The sequence below is a fragment of the Homo sapiens genome, chromosome 3 (assembly GCF_000001405.40).
Source record: "Homo sapiens chromosome 3, GRCh38.p14 Primary Assembly".
In the NCBI taxonomy this organism is placed as follows: domain Eukaryota; kingdom Metazoa; phylum Chordata; class Mammalia; order Primates; family Hominidae; genus Homo; species Homo sapiens.
In genome coordinates, this window is record NC_000003.12 from 122,706,691 (window position 1) to 122,732,027 (window position 25,337).

Below are 25,337 nucleotides of genomic sequence, written 5' to 3' on the forward strand. Positions count from 1 at the left end.
TGGTTCCTTCTCCCATTATTGCATCTATCTTTAGCCAAGATGTTACTTGTTTTTTTTCCAACAAAATTATCTGTTGCTTGTTTACAAGGAGGAAGAAAATGATGATTATGGAGGGTCACCAACAGGCAAAAAAAAAAAAAATGAAATTCACAGGTTTATTAACACTAGAATACATACACCAGCTACTTGCTCCAAAAATCATGACTCCTCAGCCCCTCCTCTTTTGGTACAAATAGGAAATTAAAAACGGAAGTGTTTGGGACCTTGTGATGGTCATTCTCTTAACATTGTAGTTTTTACAATTGGCAAGTTATTTGCTTTGACTGACCATTATGGTAATTCATGTTCATTGTAGAAACTTTGAACAATGCAAAATGCATAAATTCTTTAGTTGGATTTTATTCCAGCCTGCTTTTTTTTACATATGTACTTTTAAAAGTGGGATTGGCTCGGAGCGGTGGCTCATGCCTGTAATCCCAGCACCTTGGGCAGCCAAGGCAGGCAGATCACCTGAGGTCAGGAGAACAGCCTGGCTAACATGGTGAAACCCCGTCTCTACTAAAAATACAAAAATTACCTCCCAAGTAGGCTGAAGCAGGAGAATCACTTGAACCTGGGAGGCGGAGTTTGCAATGAACCAAGATTGTGCCACTACACTCCAGCCTGGGTGACAGAATGAGACTCCATCTCAAATAAATAAATAAATAAATAAATAAATAAATAAATAAAGGATTGTGATTATAAATTATTTTATTTAATATCCTTCGCTTTTATTTTCTATTTCACTAAATCTTCTTTGAGGCTGGGCACAGTGGCTCACACCTTTAATCCCTGCACTTTGGGAGGCCAAGGCAGGAGGATCACTTGAGGCCAGAAGTTCAAGACCAGCTTGAGCAACATAGGGAGATCCTGTTTCTACAAAAAACAAACAAACAAAAAAACACAAAAAACAAAAAACGTAGCTGGGTGTGGTGCCATATACTTATAGTCCCAGCTACTTGGGAGGCTGAGGTGGGAGAATTGCTTAAGCCCAGGAGGTCGAGGCTGCAGTGAACTGTGATCACGCCTCTAGCATTCCAGCCTGGGCGACACCCCAGCCTGGGCAACACAGCAAGACCTCATTTAAAAAATTCTTTGAAAATACGATTTTTAATGGCTAATAAATACTCCAACACATGGATACAGCAACATTTATTTAACTTTTTCCCTGTTGAATTTTTAACTGTTTTTTCTCTGTTATGAATAGCACTGTAGTGAATATCCTTGTATTTATCCACATCGTTGTCCACATCGTTGATATTTTCATTAGACACATTTATAGAAACAGAATCATGTGTTGTTTTTATAACTTTCAAGATCTGCAATGAAATTAAATAATACTGTTTGAGAATGGTTATCTCCCAAATATGTATGTGTGCATGCAGGACAAAACACCCTGATGATTCCAATTTATTCATTTACTGAGGAGTGTAATGATCAACGCTGTGTTTATATTTCAGGCATTTTCAGATGAATTTGCCAGAAGGGCTAATGGAAATCTCGTCAGTGACAAAATTCCGAAGGCTAAAGATACACAAGGTTCAGTAAAGCTTCTAAATTGAGAAGTGATTTCTAGTTGCTAAGTAACTGTTCATTGGCAGGTAAAAGACAGTAGTGATAATTTTTATGAAAAAAAAATCAATGAGTGACAAATGATACTAAGTTATGTTTCATATACCTGAGCATGTAAGACACTGGTCATGTTTATATAATCTGAAGCAAAAGGGAAGGCAGGCCAAGTTATGTAATCTGTATAATGGGTTTTAAGTAATGACAAGACTACCATTTCCTGAGGAGAATGTGACATGTATTTTCCAAAATAGACAAATTTGAGAGACAATACTCACCAAATCTTTCACCTTTGTCAAATTTGTTGATGCCATATTTGAGTTTATCCTGTTTGAGTTTCACCGAGGCTTCTTGAATATAAAAATGTATGTCTTTCATCAAATTTGGAAAATTTTAAGTTATCTCTTTAAATGCTTTTTTGTGCACTGATCTATTTCATATCTCCTTCTGTTTTCCAATACTGTGGTGCTAAGCCTTTTGACAGTGTTCCAAGGTCTCTGCAGAGCTGTTCTCCCCATGCCTACCCCCCTCAATCCCACTCATCTTTTTTCTCTCTTGTTCTTCAGATTGGATAATTTATCTTGACCTGCCTTCAAGTTCACTGAGTCTTTTCTCTGTCCTCTATGCTATTGAGCCCATCCAGTGAATGTTTTATTTTAGATACGTATGTGTATGTTCTAAAATGTCTATTTGGTTCTTTTTTAAATTTTTAAATTCTTTAAAGTTTGAACTTTATTTTCATTTGCAATATATTATTATTATGATTATTTCAATAGTTTTGGGGGTACAGGTGGTTTTTGGTTACATGGATAAATTCTTTAGTAGTGATTTCTGAGATTTTAGTGCATCCGTCACCTGAGCAGCATATACTGTACCCGTTATGTAGTCTTTTATCCCTCATCCCCCTCTCAACCTTCCCCCTGGAGTCCCCAAATTCCATTATATCACTCTTATGATTTTGCATCCTCATAGCTTAGCTTTCACTTATAAGTGAGAACATAGGATGTTTGGTTTTGCATTCCTAAGCTACTTCACTTAGAATAATAGCCTCCAGCTCCATCCAAGTTGCTTCAAAAGACATTATTTCATTCCTTTTTATGGCTGAAGAGTATTCCATAGTGTATATACAGCACATTTTCTTTATCCACTTGTTGGTTGATGGACACTTAGGTTGGTTCCATATCTTAAATTGTGCTGCTATAAACATGTGTGTGTATGTTTTTTCATATAATGACTTATTTTGCTTTGGGTAGATACCCAGTAGTGGGATTGCTGGATTGAATGGTAGTTTTACTTTTAGTTCTTTCAGGAATCTCCACACTGTTTTCCGTAGTGGTTGTAATAATTTGCATTCCGACTAGCAATGTAAAAGTGATCCCTTTTTACCACATCCATGCCAACATCTATTGTTTCTTGACTTAAGTTATGGCCATTCTTGCAGGAGTAAGGAGGCATCTCATTGTGGTTTTAATTTGAATTTTCCTGATGATTAATGATGTTGAGCATTTTTTCTTATGTTTGTTGGCTGTTTGTATACCTTCTTTTGAGAAATGTCTGCTCAGATCCTTTGCTGACTTTTTGATGGGATTATTTGTTTTTTTTTTTGTTTGTTTGTTTGTTTTTTCTTGCGATTTGCTTGAGTTCCTTGTAGATTCTAGATACTGGTCCTTTGTCGGATGCATAGTCTTCAAATATTTTCTCCCATTCTGTGGATTGTCTGCTTACTCTCCTGATTACTTTGCTGTGCAGAAGCTTTTTAGTTTAATTAGGTCCCATTTTTAATTTTTGTTTTTGTTGCATTTGCTTTTGGGGTCTTAGTCATGAATTCTTTGCCTAAGTCAATGTCCAGAAGAGTTTTTCCAATGTTATCTTTTAGAATTTTTATGGTTTCAGGTCTTAAATGTAAGTCTTTGCTCCATTTTGAGTTGATTTTTATATGAGGTGAGAGATGGGGATCCAGTTTAATCTTCTACATGTGGCTTGCCAGTTTTCCCAGCACCGTTTATTGAATAGGTATCCTTTCCCCAATTTATGTTTTTGTATGCTTTGCTGAAGATCAATTGGTTTTAAGTATTTGACTTTATTTCTTGACCCTCTATTCTGTTTCATTGGTCTATGTGCCTATTTTTATACCAGTACCTTGCTGTTTTGGTAACTATAGCCTTGTAGTATAATTTGAAGTTGGGTAATGTGATGTCTCCAGATTTGTTCTTTTTGCTTAGTCTTGCTTGGCTATATGGGCTCTTTTTTGGTTCCATGTGAATTTTAGGATTTTTTTTCTAGTTCTGTGAAGAATGATGCTGGTATTTGGATGAGAATTGCATTGAATCTGTAGATTGCTTTGGGCAGAATGGTCATTTTCACAATATTGATAATTCCCATCCATGAGCATGGAATGTGTTTCCATTTGTTTGTGTCATTTCTTTGACCAGTGTTTTGTAGTTTTCCTTGTAGAGATCTTTCACCTCCTTGGTTAAGTATATTCCTAGGTATTTTATTTATTTATTTATTTATTTATTTATTTATTTATTTATTTATTTATTTTTGCAGCTATTGTATAAGGGATTGAGCTTTGATTTGATTCTCAGCTTGGTGGTTGTTGGTGTATAGCAGGGCTACTAATTTGTGTACATTGATTTTTTAACCTGAGACTTTACTGAAATTGTTTATCAGAACTAGGAGCTTTTTGGATGAGTCGTTAGGATTTTCTAGTATACAATCATATTATCTGCAAACAGCAACAGTTTGACTTCCTCTTTTCCAGTTTGGATGGCCTTTATTTCTTTGTCTTGCCTGATTGCTCTGGCAAGGACTTCCAGTACTATGTTGAATAGAAGTGGTAAAAGTGGGCATCCTTGTCTTGTTCCAGTTCCCAGGGGTATGCTGTCAACTTTCCCCCATTCAATATGATGTTGGCTGTGGATTTGTCACATATGGCTTTTACTACTTCAAGATATGTCCCCTCTATGCCTATTTTGTTGAGGGTTTTTATAATAAAGTGGTGCTGGATTTTATCAGATGCTTTTTCTGCATCTATTGAGATGATTATATGATTTTTGTTTTTAATTCAGTTTATGTGATGTATCATATTTATTGACTTTTATATGTTAAACCATCCCTGCATCCCTGGGATAAAGTACGCTTGTTCATAATGTATTATCTTTTTGAAGTGCTGTTGGATTTTGTTAGCTCATATTTTGTCAAAGATTTTTGCATCTGTGTTCATCAGGGATATTGGTCTGTAGTTTTTTTTTGTTGTATCCTTTCTTGGATTTATTATTAGTTTAATACTAGCTTTTAGACTGATTTAGGGAGGATTTCTTCTTTCTCTATCTTTTGGAATAGTTTCAGTAGGATTGGTACCAATTCTTTGAATGTCTGGTAGAATTCAGCTGTGAATCCACCTGGTCTGGGACTTTTTTGTTGTTGGCAATTTTTTTTAATTACTAGTTCAGTCTTGCTGCTTGTTATTGGTCTGTTCAAGGTTTCTGTTTCTTTCTGATTTAACCTAGGAGGGTTGTATGTTTCCAGGAATTTATCCATTTCCTCTAGAGTTTCTAGTTTGTGCATGTAAAGGTGTTCATAGCAGCCTTGAATGATCTTTTGTATTTCTGAGGCATTGATTGTAATGTCTCCAGTTTCATTTCTAATTGAGCTTATTTGGATCTTCTCTCTTCTTTTCTTGGTTAATCTCACTAATGGTCTATGAATTTTCTTTATCTTTTCAAAGAACCAGCTTTTTGTTTCATTTTTATCTTTTTTTGTTTGTTTGTTTGAGGTCTTTTTAAAATAGTTTCTATTTCTCTGCAGAGACATCCTATTTTTCCATTCATTCCACATCATTTCCATCCATTCAAATGTGTTTACTTTGACCTCATGGATCATAGTTATAGTAGATGCTTTAAAGTCTTCTATAATTCACATCTTTTTGGGATTCACATCTTTTTTTTTTTTTTTCTTTTTTCTATGGAGTCTTGCTCTGTTGCCCAGTCTGGAGTGCAGTGGTGCAATCTTGGCTCACTGCAACCTCCGCCTCCCGGGTTCAAGTGATTTCCTTGCTCAGCCTCCCAAATAGCTGGGATTACAGGCCTGTGCCACCACGCCCAGCTAAGTTTTGTATTTTTCTTTTAGCAGAGAGAAGGTTTTACCATGTTGGACAGGCTTGTCTTGAACTCCTGACCTCAAGTGATCCACCTGCCTCGGCCTCCCAAAGTGCTGGAATTACAGGCATGAGCCACCATGCCTGGCCAGGATTGACATCTTTTTTTTTTTGAGACAGAGTCTCACTCTGTCACTCAAGCTGGAGTGCAGTGGCACAATCTCAACTCACTGCAGCCTCAACCTCTGGGGGCTCAGGTGATCCTCCTACCTCAGCCTCCCAAGTAGCTGGGACTACAGTTGTGCACCACCATCCCAGCTAATATTTGTATTATTTGTAGAGATGGGGTTTCACCATGTTGTTCAGGCTGATCTCGAACTCCTGGACTCAAGTGATCCACCCACCTCGGCCTCCCAAAGTGCTGGGATTGCAGACATGAGCCATTGTGTCTGGCTGGATTGACAGCTTTTGATTTTCTTTATCCTTAAGGGTTGATCAAATTTTCCTGGTTCTTTATATAACAAGCAATTTTGGAATACAGACTTGACATTTTAAATATTATGTTGTGAGACTAGGGCCACCCTTGGGTCAAAGCTGGGAGAGAAAAGAGGAAAAATTTTAAAACAGAACAAAATGGAAAACTGCCCCACTTAGCAGATTGCTTCTGCAAGTTTTGGCACCTTTCTTCAATCTGTCTGCTGTTATTGTAACTTTTCAGAGCTCTTGGGTGGTGGCTTTTTGTATTTGTCCTGTTTTTAGTTGTAATCAACGGGAGAGATAGGCTATAGTACGCTAACTTCACCTTGGTCAGCACCAGAGTTCATGTTTGATATGGATTCTATGTTCTAATTCTTTTTTCTTAAACAGATCATCACTGAGGCTGAGGAGCAGGGCCAGGTTAAAGACCAGAGGTCACAGAAAGAGAGGGAGAGGGAAGACATCCAAGAGGGTCCCATGTGAGCAGGATACCCAAGTCATTCTTGCTGTGGCTGACTCGGTTATTGACTTTACTTCTTTTCTTTTCAGGTTTTTATGGGACTGTTTCTAGCCCTGATTCAGGTGTGTATGAAATGAAGATTGGCTCCATCATCTTCCAGGTGGCTTCTGGAGATATCACGAAAGAAGAGGCAGATGTGATTGTAAATTCAACATCAAACTCATTCAATCTCAAAGCAGGTACTTGTACAATTTTGATGAGTGCAATAGTTAATGGTAGATGCTATGAAGGAGGGTTTCTATAGCCAAACTGGTTTTTAGAACTTTGGCTTGTTAATTAATAACTTTTAAATTATGCTGACAGGGTTTTCCATAATTAATAATGTTTATTTTATGAAGTTTTCTTCTTTGTCATCAGCAATACCCAATTAGAGGATTCCTCAGATGATGGAGAATGCATTCAGATAATCCTTCTGATCCAAATATACCATAGTGGTTTTTTACTCATGTTTGTTATCATCTTGATTTTCTCATGTAGGGGTCTCCAAAGCAATTTTAGAATGTGCTGGACAAAATGTAGAAAGGGAATGTTCTCAGCAAGGTAAGGCATATTCTATTTTTTGGTCCTAAGTTGTAATTGTATGGGAGGCTGTGGAGAGGCTGAGAAAAGTCTTAGGGTTGGGGAGACAACACTCTAATTTTAAAATGATACATTTTACTAAAGAATTCCAATCACAGACACTTAGAAGTGAAAAGTAATCTCACAGTTAAAAGTAAAGTTAAGTCATAGCATTCCATCAAAGATAGTATTTCAGGAGTTTTTTTTTTTTCACAAAATGCTTACTTGCCAAGTTATACATTTTGCTTTCTAAACAAATGACGGGTTCAACTTCTACTAATTTTGCATCTTTTTGTCTGTGTTTCCCAGCTCAGCAGCGCAAAAATGATTATATAATCACCGGAGGTGGATTTTTGAGGTGCAAGAATATCATTCATGTAATTGGTGGAAATGATGTCAAGAGTTCAGTTTCCTCTGTTTTGCAGGAGTGTGAAAAAAAAAATTACTCATCCATTTGCCTCCCAGCCATTGGGACAGGTTCGTAGCCTCTGGCTGTCAAGGCTAAATCCCAAGCCATCTACTTTCCCTTTCATTTGGAGCTGAGTGTGAATGCGGTCAGTGCTGAGTCTGACCCAGGGCAGCAACCATTAAGCTAGGAGTGGACAGCTTCCTCCCCATAAGACAACTCCCAAGGGAATGACAAAGCCTGTGGATTGTTTGAGTAAAAGAGGGACAAAATGCAGGAGACTGAAGAGAGTGTTAGAATGTTAGAGAGGCAGAAAGAAGGGAAGGGAAAATAAGGAGGAGAAGAGAAGGGAGAGAGTGGAAAGGCCATCCCTCATTCTCTTTCCTCAGTTACTTTCCCTTTTTCCATTCCCTACATATTCTCCATTATGCAGTCCTTAGCTTCCTCCTCTTTCCCCTCTCCATGGAGAATATTAGTACAACAACTTCCACCTCACTCTAGCTGATTCCCAGAGGAATATTACCAGGCTTCAGCTCAACAGTCAGCTGTGTCACTTGGCCTCAGGGCATTTCTGTGTAGAAGCTTCTCAGTCACCAGAACCTAGTGGGTCAGAAACTCAACTCTCCACTTTCCTCTTTTCAGCCTACTTGCTTCTTTGATTTTCTTCTTTTCCTAAAACTAGGTAATGATAGCGTGATTTTTCATATATAAGGATGGCGCTCTGGATTTATCATTAATTAGGTGGTTTTTTTTTTTTAATTATACTGGGGTACATGGGCAGAATGTGCAGTTTTGTTGCACAGGTGTTCTTTGAGCTCTTTAGGAATCCCTGCTTGGTCTCCTTCAGAGAGCTGGTCAGGGGAGGCATGCATTCTTAGGCTTGAAGTCAACGGAGCTGCCTTGTTCCAGTGCGAGAATAGTCAGCATCGGATCTGTCATTCTGTTGCTCGGGAATCTAAGTTTGAATCTCTTATGCTGGCATTCTAGGCTTTCCAAAAGGTTATCCTCAATAAACTTAACCATCCTTGTCAATTTCTGGGCCTTCTTCTAACCCTCTGACCCATATCTGTAATTCTGTACCATTTCTTATAATGTTCCGAGATGGAATTCTATGTCTATTTTACAACTTTTCTATTTCTAAAAGTATAATTTTTGATCCCTTTGTTTTCATTCCCCTTAGAGTATCATCTATTCCTAGCAGATTAGCCAACATTTCTCCTATCTCTCTCTACCAGTCATCTATCTATCTATCTATCTATCTATCTATCTATCTATCTATCTATCTATCTATCTATCGATCTGTCTATCTATCTCTATCATCTCTCTACTGACTTATCTTTTATGGACACCCACCAATGACTCCTCAGTCTCTGTCTCCATCTGTTTTTTTCTCTGAGCTCTAGTCTTGGGTTTCCACCTTCAGTTGATTTGGGCCAAGAAAGCAAGCAGCTTAGGGGTGCCACAGACCTTCCCAAAGGAGTCCCTGGTAGAGTCAAAAGAAGAAACAAAGAAAGAAGGTAGGTTTCGTTTTGTATAAATATGTACACATTTGAGCATTTCTGGACTCAATTCTGGACTCAACAACAAATCCTGTTGTTTCTTCCACTGACCTGGTTGCATTGCTGGTCAGCACAAATAAATCAGGGTTAGTGGGTTATCCTTGCATGTCCTCTTTACCTATCTTTATCACCACCTGAGCTGGTTCTGAGACTGATAGATGTAGAAGCTTTCTCTTTTAGTGGTGTATATGAGTTGAATTAAGACTGTGATCAAGACAGCCTCTGGCAGTTAAAGGAGCCTCCTCTCTGTTCCTTAAAGACACCTGCATAAGAGGAGAGATTAGGTGGTTAGCAATACCTGTGATCACCTCAAGCTCAACGCAGACTCCAAACTCTCATTCCTTGTCATCTCCCCAAACCTGCCCTTCCTCTTATATCCCCAATCACGTGAAAAACATCACTTTCCATCTAGAGTCCTTGACTCTACCCTCTTCGTCACTCCGATCTTCATTAGCTTAGGAATTATTTGATTGAATATTTACTGAGTGCCTGCATCTGCAAGGCACCATGTTTAGGCTCTGGAGATAGAAAGATAACTAAGAAAAGGATCCAGTTCACAAGGAGCACTGAGCCCAGTGTGAGAGACAGGCATGCAAACAAACAACTGCAATGCAACGTGAACCATGATATAGTGAAGGTATGTGTATGGCAAAAGACAGAGAGGGAAAGGTGAAGGACAAACCCAGCTGGTCCCTAGGTACTCCTGACTTTACTTCCAAAATAGCTCCTCAATCCCTATTCTTCATTCTGGCCTCCTCTTTTTGTTCAGCTCTTGTCTTTTGACTAAGCTTTTATTACAGCGTCCTAACTAGACCTGGGCTCCCCGCTCCATGCTTCCTCCATACCCCTCCAGACTTAACTTCCTCAAAACTAGGTCTGTTCTGCATACGTGCCAGGCTGAACATATACCCATTACATAGTTCCATCTGGCATAGCCTTTCCCTCAATTTTCCATATTTCACCTGTTGATCACCTGTTCATCCCCGCATATCACATCATCTGTGTTCTAGCAAGTGCCTAGTGAGTACCTAGCCAGTGATAGGACATAGCAGATGTTTCTTGAAAGTGAATGAATGTAACTGAATGTGTCCATATAAACTCTTCAAAATACCATGGGAAAATTACAGCTTTGCAAAAGAGAATTTCCCTCGTTCTCTGATCATCTGATTTAAAAAGATTTGAACAACCCCCCTTGGTTAATTTTATGTGGGGTTGTCTACATTCCCACAATTGTCAGCATAGCCAAGTCAAAGAAGCCTACTCTTCTTCTGCAATAGTGGTGGGTACCATCAACAACAATTAGCCAGGTGGGCTCTTAGTCTGTCACATCAGCTTGGCCAAGGAACTTTTACATTGCCCATCATGTGACTTTGCCAGCTGTTATTCACATGGGACTGTTCCCCCAGCTGGAAAGGGACTTTTCATGATCTTACCTAGGCTGTTGCTTTCATGGCTTGAGAAGGAGGATATGGAGTATGCTGAAAACAGGAAACGCTCTGCTTCAGGTGGCTACCTTGAATCCTGCTGGTCAGCTAAAATCTCACTGAGTGTGGAGGGAAAGGCTTCTTGGAGGCTTATAGATAACTTGTGTCTGAAAAATTATAGATTATAACAAATAGCCTGTAGCACTGGGTGTCTTACTAAATTTTGCTTAGTTCAAATTAGGTTCCCAGAGATATCTGGGAGAATAAGGATACATACATAAAATCAAGTGATGACTGATCCTAAAAAAGATTTTCATCTTTAAAAAGTATTTTATGTCAACATATATTAGCATCTGCTTTTTATGAAATTTCAAGGACACTAGCGAGCTAAGTAGAAAAGCTACTTGTGCTCTGTAATAGGAGAGGAGGAACACAATGAGCTGGGATCAGTTGAATAGAGTAGATATGATTGTCAGACACCAAAAGTCAGATTTCTGGGTCCTTTGTTCACTGCTAGGCTGTGGGCTTCCTGACATCCTGGAACAAAAACACTTCATTGCATCTAGGACTTCAAAAGTGTTTGCTGATGCTTTGTTAGAAAATTCCACAATGATGAAAGAATTGAGGAGTGGGCATTTATTCTCTGAGCATTGGAAACCCTAATTTATTCCTCAGCCTTCCACTTGGGGCTTTTTTGTCCTTCAGCAATTTTATTATTTGCTTTTCCAGGAAATGCCAAACAACACCCAGATAAGGTTGCTGAAGCCATAATTGATGCCATTGAAGACTTTGTCCAGAAAGGATCAGCCCAGTCTGTGAAAAAAGTTAAAGTTGTTATCTTTCTGCCTCAAGTACTGGATGTGTTTTATGCCAACATGAAGAAAAGAGAAGGGACTCAGCTTTCTTCCCAACAGTCTGTGATGTCTAAACTTGCATGTGAGTTCTTTGTTTTTATGAAATGCATGTTCATAACGTTGATGTCACATGTGAAATACCTAATCTTCCTTTTCTTTTTAGCATTTTTGGGCTTTTCAAAGCAATCTCCCCAAAAAAAGAATCATTTGGTTTTGGAAAAGAAAACAGAATCAGCAACTTTTCGGGTGTGTGGTGAAAATGTCACGTGTGTGGAATATGCTATCTCCTGGCTACAAGACCTGATTGAAAAAGAACAGTGTCCTTACACCAGTGAAGATGAGTGCATCAAAGACTTTGATGAAAAGGAGTATCAGGAGTTGAATGAGCTGCAGAAGAAGTTAAATATTAACATTTCCCTGGACCATAAGAGACCTTTGATTAAGGTTTTGGGAATTAGCAGAGATGTGATGCAGGCTAGAGATGAAATTGAGGCGATGATCAAGAGAGTTCGATTGGCCAAAGAACAGGAATCCCGGGCAGATTGTATCAGTGAGTTTATAGAATGGCAGTATAATGACAATAACACTTCTCATTGTTTTAACAAAATGACCAATCTGAAATTAGAGGATGCAAGGAGAGAAAAGAAAAAAACAGTTGATGTCAAAATTAATCATCGGCACTACACAGTGAACTTGAACACATACACTGCCACAGACACAAAGGGCCACAGTTTATCTGTTCAGCGCCTCACGAAATCCAAAGGTGAGTTAAACATTCATACTTGTCATCCACTATTTCACATCTACTTTGGGCATAACACTATTTGGTACGTACATCAGAATTTCAAATTGGAAAAAATTCATGTGACACTAATGAAATAAACTAGAAAATGTGGCCTCTGCGCTTAAAGAGCTTACGTTATGGCCAGGAAAACCCAGAATGGATGTACCCAAAAGCCTGAAGATGACTATCTTCTTGGTAACAATAGTCAAATCTCACCTTTGTTCTCATCTCTACAGTTTATAAGCTTCCCAGAGCCAGTTGTGCTGAGAAGGTAATAGCAGCATCAATTAGGGGAAGGAAAACCATAGGCTTAAAGGAAAAGTGATGGCCCAAGGTTTTCTAGAACAAAAAAGGCCAAGGGAAAAACAGAAAGGAAAGCCTGGTCAGAGGGTGTGCCCTCTCTGTGTCTGACTGATAATCCAGGGAGGATCGGGAGCCTGTAGGAACTTCTCCCAGTAGTCACCTCTGCCAAGAGCAAAAGGTTCCTTGACACACATGGCAGGAAGCAGGCTTCAGATTCTCTGACCAGACCTACTCTCCAAGAAGGGAAGCCCTGTCTTGTGTAGGCAGCCCTTCCTACCTTCGAACCAGATTAAGTCCCCTTTGAAAATGAGTAAATTGGCTTCCATTACACTATATTTATCTCCTGTGAGATCAGTGTGAACAGATTCCCGAGACTCTGAGCAACCCTGGGGAAATGATAAATCACATATAGTATTCTGCTTAGCAGAGGAGAAGACAGAGCTGTCACCACAGCTTGTCACATAGCAAAATCTGCCACCTAACTGCCTCTTAAAGATGCTATGAAGAATAATGAAAAAATAGATGTAGAGTGCCTGTGGTGGTGATGGTGAGGAGTTCTGGCAAAAATCCATGCACAAACAAAACAGCAACTACTTAGAACACTGTAGGGAAATAATTTATTGTGAAATTGTGACTACTAGAGATTGAACAGAAAACACAGATGAGTTATACTGCACCAACAGTTCTCAAATCGTAGTATGATCCAAACTTAGGAGGCAGACATACAGGCTCTGCCCCTCACAGATGCTGATTCAGTTGATCTGTGGCTTTCCTTTTTTTTGTTTAACAAGCATTCCAGTTGGTTCTGATGTAGGTTGTCTGTTGTTCATGCTTTGAAAAGCGTTCTCCTAGAAAGATAAGGAACTCTTTGAATGCTTAGAATTGGGAGATAGTAAAACAAGAACACAGATACTAAATGTTCCAGAGTGTACCGGGGATGTATGAGGGCATCCTCAAATGTCTCCTTTGCAGTTGACATCCCTGCACACTGGAGTGATATGAAGCAGCAGAATTTCTGTGTGGTGGAGCTGCTGCCTAGTGATCCTGAGTACAACACGGTGGCAAGCAAGTTTAATCAGACCTGCTCACACTTCAGAATAGAGAAGGTAAGCCTTCTGCTAGAATGCAGTTTCTGGATGGTGGAAATAAGTTCTGTCATGGTCCTATATAAAATCCATTTTCATTCACTTCCTATCACATTTTTTTAAACCCAGAATTAGAATTTGTATGGTAATTAGTAGTTCTAGATTCTACTCATGTGACCATAATTACTGAGGCATTAAGATTCTTGTGTCAGTGATTACAATATTTGATTGTAATATGATAGAACACTAAAGACATATATTTACTTTGTGAAGCAAGCTAATACAAATTCAAAGATATGGCTTTAAAATTGGATTTGATAGCTAGCAAATTCCACAGAGAGCCATGCAGAGGCTCCTTAGATCAGGACCATGTTACTCTGCCCCATTATTCACAGATCAACAGTGCTTCCTTGATAAAGCCAGCAGGCCTTTTCTCGTTTATCATAATTATTTTGGGCAGGTGAATGTGATGATTCGTGCCTGTAGTCCCAGCTATTGGGAGGCTGAGGTGGAAGGATTGCATGAGCCCAGGAGTTTGACGCCAGTCTGGGTAACATAGTGAGATCCTGCTCTCAAATAAAAACAACCAATTATTTTGGCATCTTCTTCCATTTTTAAACATTTTTGATATTGCTGTTTGAAATTATATTTTCCTTGACTTCTCTAGCAAAATTATTATGATTTTTTTTTCCTTGACTAATTTTCTTTTCATTTTTGCAGGCACGCTGTTTCTCTTCCAAACCCCTAATTCTAGCTTTATTCACGCCATTTATGCTTAAACGGTCTTTTGTCTCTGTACCTCACCAGGGAATATATTTACCCTTCTTGGATTCAACTATTAGTTCAATGTCAATAGCTCCCAAATCAACATTACCAACCTGGGTCTTTGACTCAAGCTCTAGAACATACTCCCAGTGGCCTAAAAAAATCTCCACTTGAGGCTGGGCACAGTGGCTCACGCCTGTAATCCCAGCACTTTGGGAGGCCGAGGTGGGTGGATCACGAGGTCAGGGGTTCAAGACCATCCTGGTGAAGATGGTGAAACCACGTCTCTACTAAAACTACAAAAATTAGCCGGGCATGTTGGCAGGTGCCTATAATCCCACCTACTTGGGAGGCTGAGGCAGGATAATTGCTTGAACATGGGTGGCAGAGATTGCAGTGAGCCAAGATCACGCCACTGCACTCCAGCCTGGTCGACAGAGTGAGACTCCGTCTCAAAAAAAAAATCTCCACTTGAATATCTAACTGCAAAATCAACTTCTCTAAAATCTAATGCATCATACGTAAGTAATTCTCTTTCCCTTTCCTTCCTCATTTCTGTTTTTGGTTCTACCACTTTCTGAGTAAAGCCGGAGATCTTTGATCCACCATAAGTCTGCCAGTAAGACCTACATTTTCTTTGCAAATTTTTCTTACTCTCTATTTGAACTGCCAACACTGTTTATTCATGTTGTTAAGTACATCATAATTTAAAAAGATTCAAAGTGCCCTACAAAGATATAAACTATACCTTCAGATAAAATAAATATACAAAGAAAAATGGTTAAAGAGAAAAGAATGGCAGGGAAAATAAGATAATACAGACGAACTGCTAGTTCTCAAAAATATATAACATGAGGTTACCAATTTGTCCCTGAGCTTCCTAGTAGACAAAGCAAGAAGTAAACATTCAGGTACAAGACTCATAATGTCCGTAAATCAAAAAGCAAACCATTTGATAAGGAGGCTCACAGCTCCTCACAATACTGAGACTGACTCCTGAGAGATTTCTCTTGTGGATCAAGTACTAGAGAATATCCTCAACGTCATCCTCACAATAAATTAAATATCAACTTTTATATCACTGTTTTTTTTTAATGTAAAACTGGTTGAACAAAACCGATGCCTGATTGAATGAAAACAATTCTATGAGGCACCAAGACAATATGATTCAAGTATGCAGCTCTATGATGGTCTATTTCTGAGATAACAAGTAAGTCTCACTCCAAGTACCAATTACTACTAACTGGTAGTGGCTGATTGGCACATTGTGATGAGATGCTAAGTTTAGATTGAGCAGGAATGAATGTTCTGCTTGACCAGCAATATCTACAGTGGGCCCTGTGGATGCCTGCTGTGTATTGGCAGACCCTGGCCAGAGAATTGATTTCAACACTTTTTTGCAGTGAAACCTTTTTTTTCAATAAAATCTTATGTGAAATCCCAGTGTATGAACCAGATAAAAGCAGAGGTGTGGGTAGTACTTAAGGTGCCTCCATGGAGGTCCCTAGAATTGTGAAAATAACATAAAAAATGGGTGGTCTGTCATCCTCTATGACTATTATGTCTTATGATTAAGGTTTTTAATATCCATAAGCCTTCCACTTAGATTCAACAATTGTGCCACTTTTGCTTTCTCTCCCTGTCTGTTTTTGCTGAAGCATTTGAAGGTAAGTTGCAGACATCATGATACTCCTATTTTAGCAAGTATCTCCCAATTAAAGACATTCTCCTAAATTATGGCAATGCCATTATCCCAATTAAAAACTTAACATTAATTCAGTAATATCCAATATGCATTTCATATTTTTTTTTTTTTTCCCCGAGACGGAGTCTTGCTCTTTCACCCAGGCTGGAGTGCAGTGGCGCGATCTTGGCTCACTGCAACCTCCGCCTACCGGTTGCAAGCGATTCTCCTGCCTCAGCGTCCCAAGTAGCTGAAATTGCAGGTGCCCACCACCACACCCGGCTAATTTTTTTTTGTATTTTTAGTAAAGATGGGGTTTCACCATGTTGGCCAGGCTGGTCTCGAACTCCTGACCTCAAGTGATCCCCCCGCCTGGGCCTCCCAAAGTGTTGGGATTACAGGTGTGAGCCACCACATCTGGCCACAGTCCATATTCTAATTTTTCCAGTTGTTCAAAAAAATCTCTTATAACTCCCCCTCCCCAACCCCAGTCTGAGTTCACACACGGTTTGGACATTATGTCTCCTTTGTGTCTTCTAATATAGAGTAGTACTCTTGCATTTAAAAAATTATTTTTCATGACATGAATTTTTTTAGAGTTTAAGCCAATTGTATTGTAGAATGTATCACATTCTGGATCTGTCATGCCTTGATTTTTGTGGAAGAATCCATGCCAGTTTTATAGATTCTAGACTTATCTGATTCTTGATAATATCATTTATTTCTCTATCCTCTTTATTTCTGGTAAGCTGAGTTAGGTTGAAAGGTTTGAGTAAATTCAGATAAATATTTTTTGCAAGAATACTTCATAGGTGATACATCACATCAGGAACCTCAGATGGTAAGGCCATCCCACTATTAATGATGCTAAGTTTGATCACTAGTTAAGTGGGTGACCACCATTTCTCTCCACTGGAATCAGTAGATTATCTGTGGGATGATACTTCGTCAGCATATGAGTATCCTGTTCCCCAACAATTTTGTACTGATTGACTTTCACTTCCATTGATGATCCTTGCCTGAATCCATCATTACACTGGAGGTTGCAGGATGTTGATTTTCTAATTCTGTCATTCCTTCTGTATATGTTATTTGGCATTTTTTTGAAGAATAAATGTTCTTTTTTCCTGATTTTGAAAAAAATCAGTATGTTATATTTAATTACAGTGATTATTCTGTTAGATGTACACATTATCCTCCATTTGGCTGGCAGGAAGTTGGGTCCCATGTCTTTTAATGACCCCATTAATCTTTGAGCATTTCTTTACTTTTTGCCATGAGATTTGTCTTGCTTATCCTGTACTTTCCTTGTCTCGTGCCTGGAATCAGACATTTTTCTAAGAAGCCATGTTACCTTTTAGTGGGGAATGGTAGTGAGAAACCAAAAGTCGTGTGTTGCGTGTGTTCACTGCTATTGAGGTGTTGCTGTTTCCAGGGTCTTTTGTGGCTAGAGCTAAGAAAATCATGAACTTGTATTTATGTTTTCTTTTTTTTTTTTTTGAGGCAAAGTTTTGCTCTGTCATTCCAGCTGGAGTGCATCAGCGTGATCATAGCTTACTGCAGCTTCCAACTCCTGGGCTCAAGCAATCCTCCCCACTCAGACTCTAGAGTAGCTGGGGCTACAGGCACATGCCACCACGCCTATTTTTTTTTTTTTTTTTTTTTTGTAGAGATGGAGTCCGTGTTATCCAGGCTGGTTTCAAACTTTTGACTTCAAAAGTGCTGGGATCCACCCACCTCTGTCTCTCAGAGTGCTGGGATTACAAGTGTGAGCCACAGCACCCAGCCATATTCATGTTTTCAATTAAAATTTAATGTTGAAAAAAAAATTTTTTTTTTTTTTTTTAGTATTTATTGATCATTCTTGGGTGTTTCTTGGAGAGGGGGATGTGGCAGGGTCATAGGATAATAGTGGAGAGAAGGTCAGCAGATAAACACGTGAATAAAGGACTCTGGTTTTCCTAGGCAGAGATCCCTGCGGCCTTCCGCAGTGTTTGTGTCCCTGGGTACTTGAGATTAGGGAGTGGTGATGACTCTTAAGGAGCATGCTGCCTTCAAGCATCTGTTTAACAAAGCACATCTTGCACCGCCCTTAATCCATTTAACCCTGAGTTGACACAGCACATGTTTCAGAGAGCACGGGGTTGGGGGTAAGGTTGTAGATTAACAGCATCCCAAGGCAGAAGAATTTTTCTTAGTACAGAACAAAATGGAGTCTCCTATGTCTACTTCTTTCTACACAGACACAGTAACAATCTGTTCTCTCTTTTCCCCACATTTCCTCCTTTTCTTTTCGACAAAACTGCCATCGTCATCATGGCCCGTTCTCAATGGTCGCTGTCTCTTCGGAGCTGTTGGGTACACCTCCCAGACGGGGTGGCTGGGCAAAGGCGCTCACTTCCCATACGGGGCGGTTGGGCAGAGGCGCTCACTTCCTAGACAGGGCGGCCGGGCAGAGGCACTCCTCACCTCCCAGATGGGGCAGCTGGGCAGAGGTACTCCTCAGTTCCCAGATGGGGTGGCGGCCGGGCAGAGGTGCTCCCCACCTCCCAGACGGGGCAGCGGCCGGGCAAAGGTGCTCCCCACCTCCCAGACAGGGCGGCCGGGCAGAGGCGAATTTTTTCTTAATATCTTAATATTTTATGTCATTTTGTGTACAAAATGAAATTCTGGCTTTTAATAATAGTACATTCTTACTTGTTTCATCCTATAGAATACATACAACTGTTTCAAAATTATCATACCAAAATTATTATTAGCAATATTAAAATAGCTATGCTAGCTTTCTTTTGGTTATTGTTAGCATGTTATGGTATATCTTTTCCCACTCTTTTTCTTTTAATCTTATAATAAGTGTATATTTAAGATGTGTCTCTTGATAGCAACATATACTTGAGTTTTGCTTTTCATCATCCAGCCTGACAATCTTTTATCTTTTAACTAGAGTACTTAATCTTACTTACTGTACTTACTGATATGTTTGGGTTTAAATGTACCATATTAATCTCTGTTTTCTATTTATCATATCTATTCTTTGTTCTTTTTTATCTTTTCCTGGTTTCTTTTGCATTATTTCTATTTCATTTTCACCCCTATTATGTTGTTAGTTATACATTCTAATTCTTTCATTGCTTACCCTAGAGATTATAACATGCATCCTTGACTTATTGAACTGTAATGTAAATTAGTATATTCATCATTCCCCAGACAATGCAAAGACCTTTGAATACTTTAAGCCTTATTTATCTCTCTTCTGCTTTTTGTGTTGCTTTTAACACACATTTTAATTCTATTTATATTTGAAACCCGATGAAACATTTTTAATTTGTTTATATTTATTTATATGTACCAACATATTTACCATTTATTTCCAGTGTCCTTCAATTCTTCCTATATTTCCATGCTTCCATGTGGGATAATTTTTCATCTAGATTTAGTATTTCTTCCAATGCAGATCTGGTAGTGATGAATTCTCTCAGTTTTTATTTATCTGAAAACGTCTCTTTCTCTTTCATTCTTTGAAGGATATTTTTGCTGGGCATAGAAGTTTGGATGGCAATTATTTTCTTTCAGCACTTTGAAGAAATTATTGTCTTCTGATTTTACTGTTTCACCATACTTCCCTTCTCTCTGCAATCTTAGCTCATCAAATCCTTGATGTCTTCAAATAGACTTTTCTCCCTCTCTAGCTCTTCTAGTAGTTGTTGGTGAGAGGTTGGTCTGATAAAAGTAATCTACCCTGGCTAGACATCTGCTGCTAATAATAAACCTACTAAATAAAGTTTAAGATTTATTTGCAATTTTTTTTACCTTAGAATTTATCCCATGAGAAATGTAGAATCAGGTTACTATATTCAAAAATTACTTGACATAATTATTTTTAAAAATTTTAAAAGGTAAGAAACAACCTTTTTAAATTTAAGAATTAAGAGACTAAGAAATTGAGAATTATTTCAAAACTCAAAAAATGTTGAAGGCTTTAAAAATGAGTAAGATAAAATGTAAGGTAAATGAAATGAATGTAGGCATTTTGAAGATTAGAAATTTAGCCGTAGGTAAAGAATACAAAGGAAAAATAATTTTAAAATCATCAACCAGATCAACAAAATATATGTTAATGCCGAGACTTTGAATTAGAGTGCGAATTGTATCTTAATTAAAAAGAGAAAACCCAAAACTGGAAAAAAAAAAAAAAAGAACCAGATGATGGCAGGTAATGGTGTTAAGCCTGAGAGTTCTCCAAAACGGAAAACATTCTGACAACATGGACAACAGGGAACCTTTACCTTGTGCATTTCCATGAGGGACTTTGGTCACCTTTACCCACCCCTCGGTCTTCCCAGGACAGCCTTATGAAACTGCTACTACTTGGGGACTAGGGGAGTTTAGAAGTAGAACTGCAACCCAGGACCCAAGCAGTTTCCACCACCGCCCTGGAGGCCACTGCCTAAAGAGTATGGTCAAAGCATGGCCACTTTGGTCTACAACATTCAAGATTCATGCACCGGTCTTCCAACTGGACCAGAGATTAATTTTCATTAGTTAATTTCATTCTTGCCTAGATATTCTGTTGCTTCTCTTACTGTTAGTACACAACTAGGTCAACCAGTATCCCAGAAGGACTGAGGTGGTGAGAGGCAAAGTGCAAAGTGAGGTGGACAGCAACAGGAGCAGTCATTAGAGTATGTGTAAAAAGCAGAAGTTGCAGAGGCTGGGTCAGCAGAATTCATGTCATGAGTACTTAAAATCCTAAACCTTGTTTGATCTCATGCGGTACATAAAAGATGTTAAAAATTAAACCAACATTCTTCCCATTGCCTGTTTTTATGAAACACTGGATCTAAAAAGGTTTCTGAATGCAGAAAGCTGCCGTCTGGCATTGGATTTGCTGTTTAGTGTGCTTTTATTTATGAAACATAGTGATCATGTTTCATTTGCTGTATATTGGCAAGTGCTCTTGGAACTGGCAGAATATTATCCTTTATTAATTTGCAGATTGAGAGGATCCAGAATCCAGATCTCTGGAATAGCTACCAGGCAAAGAAAAAAACTATGGATGCCAAGAATGGCCAGACAATGAATGAGAAGCAACTCTTCCATGGGACAGATGCCGGCTCCGTGCCACACGTCAATCGAAATGGCTTTAACCGCAGCTATGCCGGAAAGAATGGTAAGGAAGCGAGTAATCTGGCTGCTTGGAATGAGGCATCAGCCATGAGAGCCCGAGTTGGCTGGGACAGTGTGGATTCATTGTGGTCCCCCATCATTGGTGGCCATGTTGCAGCCCGAGTTTCAGGGTAGGACTCACTGTATTTCATCCCAAAGGGGATTGACTGGCCCTTCTAGGTAGAAAAATTGATGATTAAAAGTGAAAAGCACACACAAAAAATTTTAAGAGAGGCTTTAGAAAGAACATTATTTAACAGATTGGGCCAACATATCAAATTTTACATTAACTTGAAATGCTTAAAAATGGTTTTTCTTTTCACAGCTGTGGCATATGGAAAGGGAACCTATTTTGCTGTCAATGCCAATTATTCTGCCAATGATACGTACTCCAGACCAGATGCAAATGGGAGAAAGCATGTGTATTATGTGCGAGTACTTACTGGAATCTATACACATGGAAATCATTCATTAATTGTGCCTCCTTCAAAGAACCCTCAAAATCCTACTGACCTGTATGACACTGTCACAGATAATGTGCACCATCCAAGTTTATTTGTGGCATTTTATGACTACCAAGCATACCCAGAGTACCTTATTACGTTTAGAAAATAACACTTTGGTATCCTTCCCACAAAATTATTCTCCATTTGTACATATCTAGTTGTAAAACAAGTTTTAGCTTTTTTTTTTAATTCCTCTTAACAGATTTTTCTAATATCCAAGGATCATTCTTTGTCGCTGAAGTCAGTCTTTCTTCAGCTTCCCTTTCATAATGGAAATGAACTTATTATCTTGAGAGCAAATAACTTGGAAAATTTAAATGAGATAATGCAGTTGCAACTGTGTGTCCACAAGTATGGACATCAAATCTGTGGGAAAAGAACAGGTTTGTATTTTCAGGAAGGAGAGAATAACAGTCTTATAGACAGAGGGCACAGCTAAGCACAGCTGCCACTGCAGGAGACAGGCCCCATGTCAGGATGCCATAGTGCTGTGGGGAGCACAGTATTACCCAGTGGGTAGGGCTTCTGTCTTCCCTGGGAGCAGGGATGGTATCTTAGTCAATTTTTTTCCCTTGAGATGAGGTCTGTGCCTGATGTACAACGGATACTCCATAAATGTTTGACAAACCAACGAAGAATGAAAAAAAGCCTAGTCAGACTCCCATCCAAAGTAGGAACTATCTCTTTAACATTCTTGACTCACTATCACTTTACCTCAAATTGAACAGATTCCATGACGGAACTTCATTCTTCACAAACTAGCCAGTGACATGTGGGACAGCTCTGGCCAGGGCTCTGGGACTGCAGTGTACTTGCGCTCTGCACGGTCCAGGAGCTGTGATGTGGCTGTGGTCTAGGGGAATCCTGCCTGCCCCATGGAGTTGCGCAGCACAACCCTGGCTCCAATTGCCAGAAGGCTCTTTTTAATGCTGAACCAAAATGTGCCTTTTTTTTTTTTTTTTTGAGATGGAGTTTCACTCTTGTTGCCCAGGCTGGAGTGCAATGGCGCGATCTCAGCTCACTGCAGCCACTGCCTCCCAGGTTCAAGTGATTCTCCTGCCTCAGCCTCCCGAGTAGCTGGGATTACAGGCATGCGCTAACACACCCAGCTAATTTTGTATTTTTAGTAGAGACGAGGTTTCTCCATGTTCGACAGGCTGGTCTCGAACTCCCACCTCAGCCTCCCAAACTGCTGGGATTACAGGTGTGAGCCACCGTGACCAGCCAATGTGCCTTCTTATAGTGTCTACTCATTGGTCTTTGTTCTGCCCAGTGATAACAATGGGATAACGCCTGCTACACATCTTCATTGTGAAACCCTTCCCCTGTGCTGAGATTAAATGAACTCTAAGATTATTAAATAGTATATTTTCCTTGACAGCCTAGCGTTTGATGATTTTAAAGCCTTATGTATAAATAAACCAAAGGAAGTAAGCAGTCATATTGCTAATTTGCTAACTCCTATCTATTGAATGGTGAAGTTTTAAAAATTTCCCCAGGTAAGTTTAAGATTCAAACACCATCTATTGAGCACCTACATTGTGTGCCAGGTAGTAAAATAGGTGCTTTCATACACATTGTCTCAATTCCTGTGAGGTCAGAATTATCTCTGCATTTGAAACTTGAGGAAACATGCTCAGAGTGCAAGAAGCTTCCTTGCCTGAGATCACCTAGAAAGGAACCCTCAGAGCCGGCAACTGAATCTTGGTCCCTGTGATGTCAAGCCCATTGCTCTCCCACTGCAGAACATGGCCTCTAGATTAATGCCACCGATTCAGGAACACCTCCGACAGTCTTGAAATACCCCCATGTTGCCTTGTTTGTTTTTTCCTTCTGGCTTCTTCTATTACAGTCTCTTCATTGGAAGCTCTGTAGGCCAAGGCCAGAGCTGATACTGACACGGAGCCAATGCAGATAGCACATCAGATGCTAGGGGTCGCTGGGAGGATTAAGGGACTTAATCTGCTAGGAACACCTGTACTTGAAGTGGAGGAGGCTAGGGGGCCACAGTTGCTGCTTCATTAACATAGAGGTTTTGGATTTTTTTCTCTTGTGGTTTGTTTTTTAAGTGGATTGGCAGACTCCTTGTTGCTTAAGAGTGGCTTTCTAGGCAGGCCACTGGCATCTGAATTCATCATTGACAATAAATGTAAGAAATTGGAATAAAAAAGAGAGACCTGCTGTTATTCGCTTTTGTTCTCCAGTGATTTGATTAACTCAGGGCAAGGCTGAATATCAGAGTGTATCGCACTGAAGAATAATAATCCATTCAGTAATGTTATAGTTATCCTCAATCTAAATATGTCAACTGTCATTTTGCTACTTTTCAAATAAAATACTTGAAAACTGTCATTTAATGGTAAACATTTTTATCCTAAAGGGCAAATACAGGGGGGCTTAATGATAAACACAGACCACTGCTGATAATAATAATTAAAAAACAACTAAGTATGACAGCATGAAGGGATGCTCAGTGTATTAATATTTGGTTGAAAATTACAGGAAGGGGCACGATACAGCCATAGTTCAGTGAATCTGAAGGGCTTATTGACCCCAGCAAGTAGCCCCGGCTGAAACAAGTCCACTTTGCACCTGTGATAGGTCTTGATCGTTTACTCTAGGGTCAGAAATTCTCTTTTTTGGTATTTGGATCACCTGAGGTGTTTGCTGAAACTCCAAGCTCTGGCCTCATCCCAAAGGAGTCAGATTCTATAGCACTAAAGTGGTTCCCAAGAATCTGCATTTTGGGCAAGCACCTCAAATAATTCTGATATCTCTAACACCCAGAGCCACCTTAAAATGTTCATGGGCCTCAGGCACTTTTGCCATTGTGGGCCCTTTATTGCATAAAAAAATTAAATATAATTTGCAACTGCATTGACATGAACACAAATGAAGTTGAGGCTGGATTATATATTTTGTTCCTGGTTTTAAAAGAAACTAAAACATTTTTGTGGCCTCCTAAAAGATTCATGGGCCCTAGCCATTGTCTACTGCACCTAATGGATAAGGCAGCTGCTGCTGCTCCCTTGATTCTGTGATGTTAGGCAGAAGGCTGAGCTTTTATTTATTTTTTAATTTTTTTAAGGATAGAGGTTTTACTATGTTGCCCAAGGTGGGCTCAAGCAATCTCCCTGGCTTAGCTGGGATTATAGGCACATTCGGCCGGGTTTGTATTCTTTAACTACTTTGGCGCCCAGGCTGGAGTGCAGTGGTGTGATCTTGGCTCATGGCAACCTCTGCCTACTGGGTTCAAGCAATTCTCTTGCCTCAGCCTCCCGAGTAGCTGGGACTGCAGGTGTGCGCCACCACACTCGGCTAATTTTTTATTTTTAGTAGAGATGGGGTTTCACCATGTTTGCCAGGCTGGTCCCACACTCCTGACCTCAGGTGATCTGCCCGCCTTGGCCTCCCAAAGTGCTGGGATTACAGGCATGAGCCACCGCGCCCAGCTGAGGGTCTCTTTAATCAATGGTATCACTCACTCAGGCAGCTTACCTGTGAAATGCAGGATGAAAAGGGACCCAGCTACTGTAGTG

General features: G+C 39.5%; 1 protein-coding gene across 3 annotated transcripts in view; it reads left to right on the forward strand.

Moving 5' to 3' along the window:
* The window catches only part of PARP14 (poly(ADP-ribose) polymerase family member 14), a 50,002-nt gene extending 25,852 nt beyond the window's left edge, over window positions 1–24,150 (forward strand). Inside the window, exons 9-17 of one of the 3 annotated variants that reach the window (XR_007095695.1) lie at window positions 1,500–1,578; window positions 6,734–6,883; window positions 7,182–7,244; window positions 7,572–7,739; window positions 11,381–11,587; window positions 11,669–12,268; window positions 13,565–13,698; window positions 14,398–14,963; window positions 21,122–21,168. Coding sequence is in view for 2 of the 3 variants with exons in the window: in NM_017554.3 (NP_060024.2) it covers window positions 1,500–1,578; window positions 6,734–6,883; window positions 7,182–7,244; window positions 7,572–7,739; window positions 11,381–11,587; window positions 11,669–12,268; window positions 13,565–13,698; window positions 21,122–21,296; window positions 21,618–21,907 (1,866 nt within the window). In the remaining variant the exon portion in view is untranslated. Of the gene's footprint in view, window positions 1–1,499; window positions 1,579–6,574; window positions 6,884–7,181; window positions 7,245–7,571; window positions 7,740–11,380; window positions 11,588–11,668; window positions 12,269–13,564; window positions 13,699–14,397; window positions 14,964–21,121; window positions 21,297–21,617 lie in introns of those variants that run through there. The other 2 variants (NM_017554.3, XM_011512929.3) reach the window with 2 other exon arrangements.